This window comes from Homo sapiens, chromosome 22 (genome assembly GCF_000001405.40).
Source record: "Homo sapiens chromosome 22, GRCh38.p14 Primary Assembly".
Classification (NCBI taxonomy): Eukaryota; Metazoa; Chordata; class Mammalia; order Primates; family Hominidae; genus Homo; species Homo sapiens.
In genome coordinates, this window is record NC_000022.11 from 36,669,756 (window position 1) to 36,687,976 (window position 18,221).

At 47.3% G+C, this 18,221-nt stretch overlaps 1 protein-coding gene across 3 annotated transcripts in view, besides 1 other annotated feature; it reads right to left on the bottom strand.

The window, feature by feature from the left end:
* CACNG2 (calcium voltage-gated channel auxiliary subunit gamma 2) overlaps positions 1-18,221 on the bottom strand; it is a 142,896-nt gene that overhangs the window by 108,899 nt on the left and 15,776 nt on the right. The gene's annotated exons all lie outside the window — the stretch shown is intronic.
* Positions 15,062-15,603: an enhancer, noted in NCBI's record as "H3K4me1 hESC enhancer chr22:37080862-37081403 (GRCh37/hg19 assembly coordinates)". NCBI's record gives its function as "activates a minimal SCP1, AML or CMV promoter by ChIP-STARR-seq in naive H9 embryonic stem cells {active_cell/tissue: H9 hESC(naive)}" and the evidence as "EXISTENCE:reporter gene assay evidence [ECO:0000049][PMID:30033119]".

Below are 18,221 nucleotides of genomic sequence, written 5' to 3' on the forward strand. Positions count from 1 at the left end.
AGGCTTGAGTGCAATGGTGAGATCTCAGCTCACTGCAACCTCCGCCTCCCGGGTTCAAGCAATTCTCCTGTCTCAGCCTCCGGAGTAGCTGGGATTACAGGTGCCCAACACCACGCCCAGTGAATTTTTGTGTTTTTAGTAGAGATGGGGTTTTGCCATGTTGGCCAGGCTGGTCTCAAACTCCTGACCTCAAGATGATCCACCCGCCTTGGCCTCCTAAATGCTGGGATTACAGGTGTGAGCCAGCATGCCCAGCTTCTTTCCATATTTAGATTATGAATGATTTGAATGCCAGGATCCAATTCTCTCTGTGCCTCAGCCCTGATCTAACTAACTATAAGATTCCCCTTACAAACTTCATTCATTCAAAACATCGACAGCAGACATTTAGTAAACTTTTTACTGTGTGCCAGATACTGTGAGCAGCGTTGGATGCTGGGCTAGATGCAGATGGGCAGCTGGCTAAAGGGCAAATATGAAAAGAGAATTCAGGAAAAACCAGTAGATTAGGGCCAGTTCATTTTTTGAAACCCAATTCTCCATCATCCCAGCTTTTGGGACCTAACAAGTTATGCTGTTAATTACAAACAAAATGAAATATAAAATATAAATATAGATGATAGCTTAGCATCTTTGGGCTGATTGGCTTGTTTGGAAGGGTCTATTTTAGAATTTGTATCTTTATAAACTGACAGTCTCTCTGGGCTGTTATAAAAGTATTGATTATCATGATAGCCAAAAAAATTGAGCTTTTGTGGTAGGCTTTACTTAAAATGTATATAACACTGCACCTCCAGGGCAGTGTTCTAGAAGCCAGGAAGTGGCTCTGGTAGGGCTACCTGTTTTTTGTTTTTTTGTGTGTTTTGTTTTTGTTTTTTTGTTTTGTTTTGTTTTTTGAGACTGGATCCCTCTGTTGCCCAGGCTGGAGTGCAGAGGCATGACCTTGGCTGACTGCAATCTCAACCTCCCGGGCTCAAGCGATCCTCCCACCTCAGTCCCTCAAGTAGCTGAGACTACAGGGGAACATCACTGCACTCTGCTAATTTTTTAAATTAGCCTCATCATACCTAGTTCTCTGAAGGGGAAACTGAGGCTCAGAGAATTAAAGTCATCTGTCCAAAGAGCAAGGCAGTCAGAATTGCAGGCCAGGTCCAAAGTCTATATTCTTTTTTTTTTTTTTTTGAGACGGAGTCTTGCTCTCTCACCAGGCTGGAGTGCAGTGGCATGATCTTGGCTCACTGCAACCTCTGCCTCCTGGGTTCAAGCGATTCTTGAGCCTCAGCCTCCTGAGTAGCTGGGATTACAGGCATGCACCACCACACCCAGCTAATTTTTGTATTTTTAGTAGAGACGGGTTTTCACCATGTTGGCCAGGCTGGTCTTGAACTCCTGATCTCATGATCTGCCTGCCTCAGCCTCCCAAAGTGCTGGGATTACAGGCGTGAGCCACTGCACCCAGCCAATCTCTTTATTTCCGAAGTTCTAAAATTATATACTTAGAAAGAAATGCTTTAACCTTGTAGTAATACATTCTCTTTAAGGTCAGGAATAAATAAGTAAAAATTAATCTGACAATCTTGAAGCAGGCTGAAAAATATCACTCTGTACTCCCCTTGGATTTGACTCCCAGAATTGTTCCACTCATTGACAGCTGATTGGCTTAAATAATTCATCCCCTTTCGTGAGGCCTATTGCTTCAAATTGGTATGTGCTTGATGAGGGCTGTGACTGACGGGTGACTGCAAGCTGAAATGCTCCACCGCACAAGCCGAGAGAGGCTCGAAACAGTTACCCAGTGTCTTAAGGCAAATCTGGGCGTTAGGATCTCATTCTTTTGCAAAGCACTGAATCGCCAACAAACAATTTTTTTGGATACTCTGACCATCTGTGCATTCCCGACCTTCCTGTTGACTGAAGGGAGAGGGTTGACCATGTTTCCCAGGACACCCAGAGGCATCTGTGTTCTAAGTTACAGGCCTGGCTGGAAGCTGCTTGCTACAAGAGTCTGCACGGGGCCTCTGCCTCCTCGATCTCTGTGGCAGAGCTTTCACCTCCTTTTCAGGCAACCCAAAATTTGGGGACTCAGATCTCTTTCTGTCACAGGGGGACATTTTGCTAGGAAGAAAAATGGCCAGGCTTTTAGAAGAGAAGAGAGAAGAGGTGTATTCTTGGGGATAAGAGGTTAGAGATTAGGACTGAGGATAGGAACAGGTAAGACGGGTAACTTTCAGCAAAAGGCAATAAAGAAAGGGAAGAAGAAACACATCACATTCTCAGACAGGGTAAAGATATCTCCTCAGACCCACGGCAAGAGGTGAACATGGACCTTGGTGTGCTGGGGTTGCTATAGCTACACAGATTGGGAAGCCAGGAAGGGGCCCTGGTGGGGCTACATTTTTTTTTTTCTTTTTTTCTTTTTTTGAGACAGGGTTTCTCTGTTACCCAGGCTGGAGTGCAGAGGTGTGACCTTGGCTCACTGCAGCCTCAACCTCCTGGGCTCAAGCGATCTTCCCACCTCAGCCCTTCAAGTAGCTGGAGCTACAGGTGCACACCATACCACCTGGCTAATTTTTAAAAATTTTTATAGAGACTTGGTCTCACTTTGTTGCCCAGCCTGGTCTTAACCTCTTGAACTCAAGCCGTCCTCCTGCCTTGGCCTCCCAGTGTTGGGATTACAGGCGTGAGCCACTGTGAATAGGGGTGGTAGGGAAGGCCAAGAGCAAGAGGAAACCGGGAAACCACAGGCACTGAGGATTCTCACACAGGATGACTTCAATGAGGCTTTTGCTGAGAACAGCTACTCTAATGAGCTGGATCTTAAGAAGTCGGATTCCCCCAGCTTCTCGGAGTGACCTTGAACCTGGGAGCACTTTCCGTTCTCCTCCAGTTCTCAGTTCACGAGGTCCGTTCTCCTTCTCCAGGATCCCTGCAAAGCCCATTCTTCCCAAGGCATCACCAACCACCACTGGACATGATTCAACTCCCCACATAAACACCCCACCCAGGCCCACTGAATCCCATTCCGTACTTTAGTCACATGCCAGCTGATTTGTGCATCCCAAAGTTTGAGAAGCAAATGAGAACTGGAAGCTTCTTGGGCTAAGGATGGCATCTGCCTTGCAGCTGTTTCTATCTCCAGGCACAGGGCTGGGCCCATCATGGGACTTGCGTAGTTATGTGTTGAAGGAGGCTGGGCACAGTGGCTCACGCCTGTAACCTCAGCATGTTGGGAGGCCAAGGCAAGTGGATTGCTTGAGTCCAGGAGTTCGAGATCAGCCTGGGCAACAAGGCAAAACCCTGTCTCTACAAAAAACACAAAAATTAGCTGGGCATGGTGGTGCATGCCTGTAGTCCCAGCTACTCAGGAGGCTGAGATGGGAGGATCACTTGAACCCAGGAAGTGGAGGCTGCAGTGAGCCAGGATTGTGCCACTGCACTCCAGCCTGGGTGACAGAGTGAGACCCTGTCTCCAAATATAAAAAAACAAAATGTGTTGAAGGACTGAAGGAATGAATCTCCCAGAAAGCAAAGACAGCAAGGCGGGAAATGGGTCCAGCAAAAGAGAAGAAGGCAATTGATCAAGCTGAGTAGGCAGCAAGGATTAGGAAAAGATGGAGAAGATTGGAAATCGAATTCTCTGAACTCTAATAACATCGGAACTATCAGTAAACCTTTGTGGATGGTACCTTGCCTATGAAGAAAACACCTCGCAGAACATACACATTGATTTCTTTTATGAATTCTTAAATGTTGTGAAAATGGTGCCTCCATGGAGGGGCTACTTCAGTGCAAAGCACCATCAGGGGCACCGCAGGCAGGAGAGGTGGCAGGAGAGAGGACAAGGAGGAGGTCTGGGCAGTGTATGCTGGCAGGGAACGAGCGATGGGAGGCTGCCCCTTCACCACACTCGCTGCTGCTGAGAGCCAGAGCAGAGGACCGCAGGTAGGAGAGAGGGGCTTCGGCCTCTCTCTTCAGAGGTTCCTGCCTTGATATGAGGCCCTCACGTGGACAGAGCACTTTACAGTTTACAAAGTACTTTACAGTTTATGAAGCACTTTACAGTTTATGAAGCATGAGTTATCACGAGTCAGCTCTACTTGTCACTTCCAGGAAGTGAAAACACTCAGGCAGGCAGGAGAGGCAGCAATGTGCGTCAGGAGTGGGGACGTGCCTTTAATTGAGGGCGGCCGGGGTGATTTGGTAACGGGGTCCCCTGTGACTCTCTCTCGATAGCACGCAATCGCTGGTGTGCCGCGGGCAGCCGTCCCTCCCGCATGATCAAGTAAGACACAGGCCTGGTGGTGCCCATGCTTGGCCAAGTCAGCCCTGGCCATTGAAGAGGTTGCCTAGTTGGGCCCCCACCCTGCTGAAGGCTGCAGGATGATGCTGGTCCCAGCTGACGGTGCCATGTGGTGGGCTCAGAGCCAGCCTGCACTCTTGGCTCCACCACCCCTGAGAAGGGACAGGGGTGACCATGGGAAAGCAACTTCACCTCTCCCACCTCCCACTTCCTCAGCATGGACTGGAGATAAACTCATTCCTTTCTTATTTCATTCTTAAACTACACCTGTTTTTTGCTTGCTTTTTTTTTGAGACGGAGTCTCCCTCTGTCACCCAGGCTGGAGTGTAGTGGCACTATCTCGGCTCACTGCAACCTCTACCTCTTGGGCTTGAGCGATTCTCCTGCCTCAGCCTCCTGGGTAGCTGGGATTACAGACGTGCACCACCATGCTCAGCTAATTTTTGTATTTTCAGTACAGAGAGAGTTTCACCATGTTGGCCAGGCTGGTCTCGAACTCCTGAGCTTAAGCGATCCACCTGCCTTAGCCTTCCAAAGTATTGGGATTACAGGCGTGAGCCACCGCACTTGGCCCACACCTGTTGATAAGGACTCTTTTAATCCCCATTTTACAGATGAGGAAACTGAGGCCTAATGCAGAGCATTGAAAGAGCTGGATTGAACACAGGCAGTTTGAGTCCCAGGACCCTATTCTTACCCACTGTGCTATGCCACTGGGAAGAGGGAGGTAGGGTGCACAGTGGGCACCTGAGCCAGACTTGAATCCCAGGCCTCTGCTAATTGGCCGTGTCCTTGAGTAAGTTACTGAATCTCCCTGGGCCTCTGTTTTCTCATCTGTAAAGTAAGTTTGATTATAGTTCCTGCCTCAAAGGATTGTTGTGAAGATTAACATGAGATAACACAAGTAAATCATTAGAACAGTGCCTGGCACATAGTAAGTGTTCAATAAATCCTGCCTCATTATTCATAGGGTTAGTGAGAAGATTAAACGAGATAATTTATTACTTTTTGGGACAGGGTTGCCCAGGCCGAATGCAGTGTTGTGATCACGGCTCACTGCAACCTCAACCTCTCAGGCTCAGGTGATCCTCCTGCCTCAACTTTCAGAGTAGTTGGGACTACAGGCATGTACCACCATACCCAGCTATTTTTTTTCTTTTTCTTTTTTTTGTAGAGATGCAGTCTCACTCTGTTGCCCAGGCTGGTCTTGAATTCTTGGACACAAGCGATCTTCCCGCCTCGGTCCCCAAAGTGATGGGATTACAGGCATGAGCCACCATGCCTGGCTTAAATAAGGTAATTTATGAGGTGGGTGACCAATTAAAAAAAATATGAGTGCTCTCCCCTGTTCTCCTTTCCTGACCCAATAGTCAAGCTCTGGTCAGTTTCCAAAGCCAAGTGGGAGTGGATTCCATCCTGCAATACACATAGTTCTCCTTTTATGTCGACTTTTCTCAAAGAACTGGGAGCACTTCCAAGATGGCAAGTCTCATATGGGTAACGATCCTGGGAACTATGTCCCATTCAACAGCCACAGAGCCTGCTGGGCTATGTTAAATTTCCAATGTCACCCCACCAGGGGACGGCATGGTCTGTCCTGGCAGTGTCAGGGCACTGGAGGGCCCAGCTCACAGCTCCCCATCTCCGTGCCTCTCTCCTGCCTCCAGCCTGTTAACCTGTTATCGTAGTATCCCACTTTCATCCCTTCTCACTTTCTGTAGGGAGGTATTGAGAAAGAGAGAGAAGGAAGAAAAGAAAGGCTGATTTTACTACTCAAGTACTACCACTAGTGACAGCAACTATCAACAACAATAGGAAAGTGATTATAGCACCCACTGTTTGACAGGCTCCACCATGACAGCCCTGTCTGTGCTAAGGTATTGAAGCCTCATGATGACCCTATGAGGTTAGCATGGCTGCCATCCTGAATTTGTAGAGGGAAAGTAGATTTGTGGCCACAGGGCTGGTGAGAAGTGATGTTTATACCGGTCACACCTGGCTCGTGTGACATCAAAGCCTCCTGTGTGGTCTCGCCCCACCCCTCGTGGAGCAGGCTCCCCACAGCGCTATCTCTTAGGAGGGCCAGCCTCCCAAATATCTCTTGGGGGTATTTGCTGCCCCAATATGGGTTTTCACAGACACATTTGATCTTGCTCTCTCTGTAGCTGTGACCACACACGTGTACTTTGCACTTTGACCTTTCTTTAAGTACCATTGACTTAGAAGTCCCTCTAAACCTGAATCTTAGCGGTGGCAGAAGATTATTCTCTGATTGGAACCATGGCCCTCTCTTTAGGAGAGTGGAACTTGCCACCTGGAACTAATGCAAATGACTACCATCGATGGCGTACCCAGGATGCAGCTGGCACATAGCCCGGTACAGGATCTCACTTAAGTGCAATATCACTCATTTTGCAAATGAGAAATAGGAGGCTCAGAGAGGCTAAACAACTGGCCTAAGGTCACCAGCTGGCTCCTGTTTTAACTCGTTCAATTCTCAGAGCTGCCCTGCGAAGCCCAGGGCTTGGAACCTCAAGTCCACACTACCTTCCTCGTGAGGCTGCTACGAGGCTCAACTTGCTACAGCTTTGCTGGCTGTGGCTCACTGTGAAAATGTCAGCATTTTCCTCTTCGTCTGTTTTACAGAGGTTTAGAGAGGTTAAGGGCCTTGACCAAGGTCACAACGCTCAGAAGCAGAAGAGGCAGACAGCCTCTAGCCCAGATTCTCTGCCTCCATATCCGGTGCTGTTCCCTCTACCCCACTGCCTGGGAACATCTGCTGGATCAGCCTCAGCGAATGCCCTGGAAAAATGGTAGGGACCTAATTTCCCTGAGCTGCCTGATGGAGCTTGCCTCTCTTTCTGCTTCTTCTAATATTGTGTGTGTGTGTGTGTGTGTGTGTGTGTGTGTGTGTTTTAAAAATCTTTTGTCAGCAGCAAATTCATCTGAAATTGCAGCAAGAATAATACTTCGGTGTCACCTCTACTCTTCTCTGGTTCTAACAATCTTACAGTATCAAACAGCCCCTGCTTCAGAAGAAAAATAATAATGAATGACTTAAAATAACTCTGCTGAAGAAAATGAAGGTTTGATTTGAATTGCAGAGGGAACGACTCCCTTTTTGTCCCCCTCTCTCTTCATTTCCTGAAGAAGGCTTTCAGAATCTGCAAGATCCTTCTGCATTCAAAGATTCTGAGAGTCAAGAAAAACCAGGGCCAAATTATTTGATCTGAAAGTATATTTATCCCCATCATTCCAAAATACCACCAAATATCACCTAAGGAATAGGAAGCATTGGTGTGTGTCCATCTCTATTCTTCTCTAAGAAGCCTTAAGCTTTCTCGGGTCCACGGGAAAGGATGCGGTTTCCCCACCACTGCACTGCCTGGATGGGTGTGTCTTCCTCTGGGGTGGGTCAGAGAGGTCCATATGCTACAGAAGCCTATTACAAGCTTATCTCATTAATCACAGTGATTCATGCCGATAAAAAGGAATTTTTGGGAGAATGCAGATTTAACCCATTGTGGCCTTATCGGATCAGATTCATTATAACTCCATGCCTAGGTCCCCAAAGGAGATAGCAGGTCACGAGTGTATGCTTCAACAGAAACCCTCCTTAACCCACGTGGGCATAAATGAAGCTGAAATTACCAGAGAAATATACACTGGCATGTGTTGAGCCTGTGGTGCCGTTCAACCAAATGAAGTTCCATGGTTTAATATATTTCTCCATAGAGTGTCACAGCAGACAAGGTTGTGAATTGCACATTCCAGTTTTGCTCTTTGAAGATAGTTCTATTCAACCAAGTAGCCAATAGGAGTTCAGCTGATTAATAAAAGTACATTCTTTTTAAGTATAATTTTGAGTATTGTTGTGGTTTGACTGCCCCATGATTGCAAAGATTTCAACAAAGCCAGCTTGGAAGCTGCTAAAATGAACTTATTACTCAGCTTTTATTTACAAAATGTATTTTGAGGCTTCAAGTGTTGCAGAGATGCCAATGGTCGCAAAGGAGAGAGAATTGGTATTGAATCTGGTGGTATGCTGAAACCCCAAGGGAGGGCAGCTGCTCACCAGCCTGGCATTCTAGGTAAAATGAGGCCACGTAAAATGATGGAATGGTTATCTTCCCAAACGCCAATTTGTGTTGGTTTGCAAAGTGCTGAAGAATGAATGACACCCCGTCCTGGCTGAAATTTATGTCACACAATTTGGGGTAGGAGGAGGAAAGCCTATTTTCAGTCTAATGTTACAAGGGGAGACAGCAAGTCAATGGAATTAGGAGGAAATGGCCAGAACCTAGTAGCTCAATTTTTAACCCCAGGGTGAATCAAAGCAGCTTCCCCATTCCCCTTCCTCTCTGACCTTAGGGATCAGCCCACTCTCTCTATTACCTTCTACTACCCTCTCTCTACACACATTCACATTTGACCCAGTTCCCCCTTCTAACCAAAGACTCGACCCAATTCTCAAGCCTTCTCCCCCACAGTTCTGACCCAATTCTCTCATCATTTCCACAAAGACGTGACCCAATTTGCCTCCATCCTTCCCCCAGCACATGCGATAACATTCCCCCTACAGCTCCCACACTACGGATATGACCTCATTTCCACCCCCATGCCAGTCACTCACACCTGTTCCCCCTCCATTTCCCCACGATGGCCAGGAGCCACCATGGTTACCTTCTCTTCTTGCACCTAGGACACCACCCCCTTCTCTAAAAACACCAAGGACACAGCTTCCCTTCGGCAGCAGCCTCTTCTTTCCCTGGGTACATTCACAGGGATTTGACCTAATTTTCCCACTTCTCAAACCCTACTTGGCTCATCCATCTCATCGCACACCGTCTTCCCAAGGACACGTGGTTTGTGTCATTGCTGGAATGTCAAGCCCTCTGACACAGCCAATGCTCCCAATCAATGCTCGCAGCACAGCACTGAGTAGGTAGTTACTGCAGCCCCTGGCATGGCCAGAGGAAACGTCACAGCTGGCTGTGCCTTAACTGATACTCAGTTATTAGTTTATTCTTTAAAGAAATCATTTTGTTGGCAGCTTATCTGCCAGCATTTTGGATTTTCTCCCTTCCTTCCTTCCTTCCTTCCTTCCTTCCTTCCTTCCTTCCTTCCTTCCTTCCTTCCTTCCTTTCTTTCTTTCTTTCTTTCTTTCTTTCTTTCCTTCTTTCTTTCTTTCTTTTCTTTAAAAAAGGACATGTGATGAGTTCCGGTGAAGTGTGGTAGGGCTGTCAGTCAGGGGTTAAAGTCCTTTATAAGAAAACATGGGCAGGAGCAAATGTACCGGCCACTGAATGCTGCCCTTTCTATGTCAGTAGGGCTCCTGGAGAGGTTATAGGAGATGGCTCTCTGAGGGCTCTTCATTCATGGCTGCTACCTAATTAAAAAATAAATACGTTTCAATGATCACAAATGATTTTTATTTATCCACTAGGAACCAGATTACAATCAGTTATGCATATGAAATCTACTAAACAGTTTTCAGGTGAAAGGGTATTAAGTTCTATCAACGTTGGGGACTGATTTGGGTGAATAGACTTGGAGGCGATTGGTTGAGGGAAGACTGGAGAGAGCTTTTGTAGCCTTGCTCTCGTTTTTGTAACTGTTCCTCCCTAGGTCACTGCCCACTTACGTGTGATGGAGAAAGAGCCCACTCCAGCTCTCCCTGTTCTCTTAACTTGGCTGAGTTTTGGTGACACTCACGGTGGAACTTGGTTAGAAATAGTTGTTGTTTTGAAAAATTCAGAATTTTTCTTCTAAAATGAAGTAATACACGTTAAAGGTTTTGGACACCGTGAAGAGTTGTTCCAAATGGTAGTTATTCGGATGATAACAATCCCTGTTATCATCACAAGCACCATCTCTGCTGCCACCACCTTCATCATCACCACCTGCATCACAATCATTATCATCACCATCACCACCACCTTCATGATCACCACCACCTGCACCATGGCTATAATTACTACCACCACCATCAGCATCACTACCACCACCATCATTATCACCACCATCACCGCCACCTTCAGGATCACTGCCACCTGCATCATGGCTATAATTACCACCACCATCACCACCATCACTACCACCACCATCACCGTCACCACCATTACCACCACCATCACTACCACCACCATCACTGTCACCACCACTACCACCACCATCATCACCACCACCATCACCATCATCAACACCACCACCATCACCACCATCACCACCACCTTCATGATCACTGCCACCTGCATCATGGCTATAATTACCACCGCCATCACCATCATCACTACCACCATCATCACCATCATCACCATTACCACCACCATCACTGCCACCATCACTACCACCATCATCACCATCATCACCACCACCACCATCACCACCATCACCATCACCACTTTCATCACCACCATCTTTATCACAGTCATTATTACCACCATCAATCATCACCACCTTCATGATCACTGCCACCTGCATCATGGTTACAATTACTACCACCACCATCAGCACCACCTTCATGATCACCACCACCTGCATCATGGCTATAATTACTACCACCATCACCACCACTAACACCACCATCATTATCACCACCATCACCACCATCTTCATGATCACTGCCACCACCACCACCATCACCACTACCACCATCACCATCACCACTACCATCACCATCACCACCACCACTACCACCACTTTCATCACCACCATCTTTATCACAACCGTTATTGTCACCATCAATCACCACCACCTTCATGATTACTGCCACCTGCATCATGGTTACAATTACTACCACCACCATCACCATCACTATCACCACCACCACCATCACCATCATCACCACCACCAGCAGCACATCTGAAAAACTCTGATTCTGGCCTTTATGTCTCAGATTCTTTTCTTTTCCTGTCAACTTCTTTATTTATACATTTATCCATTAAAAAGAATGAGAATGAAAAACAGAAAAATTATTCTTTTTTTATTATTCTAAGAATTTGTATCTTTTTCACGAGTAAGTTAGAAGCTAAAGATCTATCTATCATCTATCTGTTCATCTCTCTGCCTATTAATCGATGGATCATTTTCTTTTGCTTGTTGGTTGTATTTCCATGGCTCTTCCCTTTTAGTTTGTCTTCATCCCTCCACCTTCTTTCTGTTGGTTTAGTGCTTAGGGCCTAAAAGTAACTGATGCAGCACCTTAGAATATAGAGAATGCTTCCAAGCCCTCGCAGAGACTGGACTTTTCCTACCTGGTGATAGCATAAGGAAGAGCAACTACATGATTTTTTCTCTTTGTGGGAAAAGGGGCACATCTTTTTATTCAGAGTCGAAAGTTTTTAAAAAGGAAGAAGACAGGGAATTTGAATCTTTGTCAGCACCTGGCTCTTTAGCATAATGATCTGCACATTGTTGACATCCTGTAAATGCTTACTGAATTAAATTTGAGCATCAGCCTTTGGGCAGGAACAGAATTAAATCCATTTTTTGGGGGGCAGCCACTTTTATTCCAAATATATTTTTGGGTTACATTTCTAACTTCTCCCACCCTTTCCTTTTGTCTCTTGTCAAAACTCATCACACTGGTGCTGAAGTAAAGTTGACCATTTGTGTTTGGAATCCATTGGCTGGACTAGGGTTTAAATCCCTGCACCACCAATGACCAACCTGAAAAAGAAATCACTTGACTTCTTTTGGCTTCAGTTCTCTCATCTGTACCACCACCCTGCCATACAGGGTGGTTGTGGGAACTGAATGAAAAAATAAGGACTATACAGTAGATCCCAGAGGATCCAGCCCATGGTAGCTGGAGGCATGGCATGTGTATGTTTCCTGTAGATAATTACTCCCCCCACTCTCTATTGGGTCCATTTCTGGTATGGCCAAAGGATGCCAAGTCTGCATGCTCTCAGGGACCAACTCTCCCTCTACCATCAGCCCATCTTCATGGTGCTCAGCCGTCAGGAGACTCTGAGAATTGAACTAGGGAAGTGTAACAGCAGACCAAGAGGCAGAATTCCTATGTGAATTTCTGCTCCTTTACACACTGCAGGAATGCTACGAGACAGCTCATTTCTAAGCTTGGGAGGGTTCCCACAGCTTGGCTGAGACTTGGGGGAGAAGACGCAGGGCTTGAAGGCCCTTGCAGGAGTGAAGCCAGTGAAGAGACGGAGTCCCAAACCCGACTCCCACCTCTGCCCCTGTTAGCTGTGGGACTCTGGCAAATCGCTTAATCTCTCAGCACCTCCGTTTCCTCCTCTGCAGAATGAGGAAGAGAAGCCTAAAACAGATTTTGCATGGTGGTTGTGGGGATAAAATAAAACCTTTGGTATACAGGAGGGTGCTCAATAGGTAGTGTTTTTCTTCCCTTCCTTTCCTCTCCATCCTCTCCTTCTTTTCAAACATTTCCTTTTTATCTTGTATTCCCCTCCCCCCACCCCACTCCCGACTTCTTCCCAGGTTTCTTGATTCAAATTTAGATATGCTGGCTACTCAATGGTGACTTGTATAGAACCTGAAGTTCTTAGGAGGATGGACACTAAAGAATCCAATAAGTGATAAACGTTTGACTGCATAAACAAGAATAATAACAACACAATTATTTGGGATCATTATTAAATTGTGAGACCAAATGAAGCCAACACAATCAAAATTGAATAGAAAGTCAGTAGAGAGTCACACCCTCTAATTTGTTTGAAGATGCTGCCCTGGTTTATTACTGATGCTCAATCATACAGTTATTTAAAGGAAATCCAGACTGACAATATTAATAATGGTGACAAATCTTCCCGGCATGGACGGCTCTCACTTTCTTTTAATTGAAGGGAAGCTATGGAAGTGTTTTCCTTCATTTAAAAAAAATCTTCCTTTTTTTTTCTCTCAGGCCATCTGTCTGGCTATTAAAATCCCATCAGCTTCATTGCGAGAACGCTTACTTCCCCCATGCCTGCCATCCCAAAGGGGGCTCTTACAGCCAACTAGCTCATGATCGCTCCGGGCCCTCCAAAGGGTAAGTGCATTTGCTCTCAGCGCTTCCTTTGCAGCATCCTGTCTTTCTTTCCTGGCATCTCATTGCTGTATAGACAAGATATTCTGTGATTTATTTCCAGGCCCCCACATTAATACTCTGAAATTAGTTTATATCCATAATTATGTGTTAATTCATTCAACTGTATAAGAAGTAGCTATGTCTCTTCTCAGCAGTTTAGGGTCTAACAAGACAGTGCTGGATCTCTGAAATAAACACCCTCGGGTCAAAGTCCAATACTTCAGGATTAGCCTTTGCTTTATAGATGATGGTGGATGAAGCCCTTGGATCTAAGAGATTGAGTCAGGACTAAGAGTCAGGAAGGAAATGCCTGCATTCTCTCTGACCCAGCACCTGGGTTCCTAAAATCCTACACTATCTCTCTTAGGCTTGTGAGTCATATTATCCCAGCCCTTCCTAAATACCCCAAATCCTTTTTGTCATTATTGTTATGGGAGACAGTCATTCCTGTTATGACAAAACTGCCTTTCCTCCCCCACTCAGGTATGATCATTATGGAGAAATCTTACAGCTTCTTCCAAGAAAACACCTCTTCCTACCAGAGGTAAATCCTTCTATGCTTGGAAGGCTCTAGGGTGGAGAAAGAAATTCCTTCCCTGCTGGTTGACAGGGAGAGCTAATTCCTCTTGTTCTGATGGTGTCTTGGGAGGGGGCATCTCCTGAACACCCTGGAGGAAACCAAAGGGAAAATCCTTCAGTACAAATCAGTGTGTCAACAAGGGAGGCAGCATCTCTCTCTCTCTCCACCCCCCGCGACCCCTGGCTGTCGTCCACACCACCATCCTTTCTAGATGGAGGAATGGGTCAAATTGTAACTAAGAACCGAGTGCTCCCGACGCCTCAGAAAGGCCCTTACAGTCCAGGCGACTTCTGTGAATTGGCCTCTGACCTTCTTTTCACTTTCTATGTCAGTGTCTCTTTTATCACCTAAAGAAAAAAGCTGATGAGTAATGGGGCTGAAGAGCCACCCGTCTCTCCATGTCTTTCAAACCCCGTGGATGGTTTATCAGTAGGAACAACGCTTTTGCAAAGTGAATGGTGGGCCATTGTGGTACCTGAGATGAATTTAGGTGGTATAGGGATGAACATTTAAATAGCTTTAAGCTAAGTATTTTGAAGGCATGTTAAAAATATAACTAGTGAATTGAACCAGTGATTTCTTGGGTACTATTGCTTAGGATGAGGCTCGATTTAAACAGGGGATCGATTTAAAGATACATGTTTGAGGCTGGGTGCAGTGGCTCACACCTGTAATCCCAGAACTTTGGGAGGCCGAGGTGGGTGGATCCCTTGAGCTCAGGAGTTTGAGACCAGCCTGGGCAGCATGGCGAAACCCCATCTCTACAAAAATTCAAAAAAATGAGCCGGTGTGATGGTGCACCCCTGTAGTCTCAGCTCCTCAGGAGGCTCAGGTAGGAGGATCACTTGAGCCCAGTAGGTCAAGGCTGCAGTGAGCCAAGATTGTGCCACTGCCCTCCAGTCTGGGCAACAGAGCGAGACCTTGTCTCAAAAAAAAAAAAAAAACAAAGTAAAAAAAGATATGTGTTTGATTAATAACAGTCCTGATTTAAAACAACAGCACTGTGTTTTGAGCCTTCACTCAGTATGCAACTCCTTTATACAGATTTTATTTTAATTTTTATAACACACTGCTTGAGAAGCATATTTATTTCCGTTTTTGTGTGTGCATGTGGTGGACAGGAAACAGTGGTTCAGAGAGATGAAGCACCCTGCCCGAGGTGGCAGAGTGCATCAGGATTCAAACCCAGGTCTGTCTGATGCCCAAACTGGGCTCTTTCTGCTGGATCGCGCTGCCCAATCAATCCGGGAAGAAAGTAGGGCAGGAAGTGGTTGGGTTCTAGGGAAAATCTATTGGTCCTGAGCTGCGGTGGTGTGTGGTCCTGCCGTCTGAGACTCTGGCCTGTAATTTTAGCCTGGGCTCCAGCCACAAGCTTTGCAGCTTCCTCTCATCGCTCAGTCCACAAATATCCATGCCCCGCCTGGTTTCTCTGTGTTCTCTGTGTCTCAGAGAGCTCTCCCTGGGCAGCGTTTCTGGGGGCGGCAGGGGGTGTCTCTCCCAGCCTGGGGGCGGGCAGGCCTCTCTCTGCATCCTGCTGCTGTTCCTCTTCGCTCTGACCAACTGTCGTGGACCCTCTGGGCTCCAGCATTCCATCTGCTCTGAGAGGGGCCCGCCCGCGCCCAGGCAGCTTCCATCTCTCCCGGGGGCCTCTGCCCGCCTTCTCACGCTCTTTCCCCACCCTGTGCCACCTCGCTATGCTGAGCTTCTGCCCCCCGTCATCCTTACCATGGACCCACCTCTGGCTCCTGTCCTCTGGTGCTCTGCAAAGCCGCTGACTTAGACCTGGGGTGGCAGCTGGCTTCCTTTACCCCCATCGCTCTGCCCCCACCTCACCCACACCACACGTTCTGCCTCTGGCCATGTCCTGGTAACCCTGGTGTCAGGCACCTCGGCTGCCGAGGCCCATCGGGAAGCCCCAGAGGCACAGTGTTCTCAAGCCGAGGACAGGCCTTTTGAAACAGATCTTTCCGGCCTGGTTCTTATGTTCTCCTGTGAACTCAGTCCTCAGGGGAAGGATTCCGCTGTTCCGGGACCAAGGCGGGGAGAGCCGCCTACCCTAGGAGCGGCTGATTCCACGGGAAGCCAAGGCACTAACTAATTTGTTCCTCCCTTCCTCCGTCCATCTTTCCATCCTTTCTCCTTTTCTTATTTTGTTCATTATTACTACTATTTTTGCTGAGATCCTACTATGTGCCAGCCCCTGCCTTAGCTATTTAATTCTGACTGATTGGCCTATCCCCATTTATTCACCAAGAGCTTGAGGTGTGCCAGGCACTGTGCCGGACAGCCGGTCACAGAGGTAAATGTGACACCATCCATGTCTCAAGGGCTTTGCCACCTGGTTGAGGAGACAGATACTTGAAAACAGAGAAGCACAAGGAAGTGTCTGGATCTTTGCCGACATCTGAACTGGCAGAGGCTGCAAATGTCTGAGGGTGGAGGCTCTTTGGCTTTGAGGCTGGCAGGAGAAAGGGGAGAGTGGCCACCACTCCTGGCTTGGATGGGCCCCTGTCTAATCCCTTCACCATGTCAAAACGGACACCAGGGCATACCAAGACAACAGCAACAGCTCGCTGCCACAACCCTCCTCAGATATAAAGGCTCATCTCTAAGGAGATGACCCTGTCACAGAGCAAGTCCAGAAGAAGGAAAAACCTCCGTTTCTTGGTGCTGTTTCAGGCTTCTCTTCGGTCAAATCCTGCAGCTCTTTCATGCGGAAGGGCCCTTGGATTTGATGACTTTGTGGGAGAGATAGGGGAGCCCGGAGCTCCCCCAAGGGTATCAGCTGGCATGTAAGAGGGAGGAAGGCGGATAAACAGACTCAGGCATGCAATGGGCCTGCCTCCCAGAGCTGGGGATTCTATCCACCCTCAAAGAGGCAGCAGCAGAGGCTGTGACCCGGAGGGAATATTGTGGTGGTGGAATGGCACAGTGCCTTCCGTCCCACAAGCATGAGTGAGCTGCTACTACGTGCCAGGCACCGTGTCAGGTGCTGGAGACCCCACACTACTTGCTGCCTGGGACCCGGGCACAGGGGTTCTAGTCCCTGCACTGCCACTTGCTGACTCCGTGGCATGACCAAGTCCCTTCCTTTTTGGGCCTCATGTTCTTCAAAGTCAAGGTGAAGATTTGGACTAGATGAGCCCTGTGGAGTCGCCGCTAGTCAACTTCCCTCTCTCATTTTCCCATAGCAACAGAAACTCGAGTTTTCCTCCAGGCATGTGGCCACCTAGAATAAAGGTTATCTTTTCCAGATTTCCCTATAGCTAATGTGTGGTCACGTAGCAAACTTCTGCCCAATGAAACTAAGGCAAAAATGTTGTGTGATACCTTCTAGGAAGCCTTCTCAGGAGCCAGGTGACAGGTGCCCTTTGCCCTTGTTTTTTTGTGCCATCCTCCACCTTGATCCATGGGATGTGAAGGCAGTGGCTGGAGCTCTGGCAGCCCTACTTGACTGTGAGGTTGAAGGACCCACTGTGGGGATGATGGAGTGGGGAGCGAGCAGGGGTCTGCATTGTTAACCGGTTTGTGGAGCCTCCAGGCCAGCCTTGTAGTTTACAGCCCCAGATTTGTTTACTTGAAAGAGAATAAACTTTTTGTTTTGTTTAAGACACTGCTCATTTAATTTTTCTGTTACTTATCATCAAATCTAATCTTTCTTGATATAATCTCTAAAAATCTCTTCCAGGTGTACTATTCCAAGGTTGTGACACTAGGTTGTGAACAAACTCTTTGTCTTATTTAAACCACTGTTAGTTTTATTTTTCTGTGGCTTATTGTCAAATTGAATCCTTCCTGGTACAAGCTCTAAAGCCTTTTCCAGGTGTGCTGTTCTGAGCTTGTGGCATTAGGGGAATTCTTTGGGTAGACATTCCCTGTGGTCGGCAGAATAACAGCCTCCCAAAGATGTCCACATCCCAATTCCTGTAACCCGTGAGTGCGCCACATTGCATGGGAAAGGGGATTAAGGTTGCAGATGGAATTAAGGCTGCTAATCAGCGGACTGTAAGAGAGGGAGATTATCCTGGATTATCTGGGTGGGCACGTGGTAATCCCCAGGGCCCTTAGGTGTGAGGGGGGAAGCAGGAGAATCACGAGAAGGACTCTGTTCAACAACTCTGGCTTTAAAGATAGAGGAAGTGGCTACAGGCCAGGGAAGGAGGCAGCCTGTAGGAGCTAGAAATGGCCAGCAAGTAGATTCTTCCAAGAGCCTCCGGAAGGAATGCAGCCCTGCCCACACCTTGGTTCTAGCCCAGTGAGACCCAGGTTAGACTTCCAACATCCAGAAC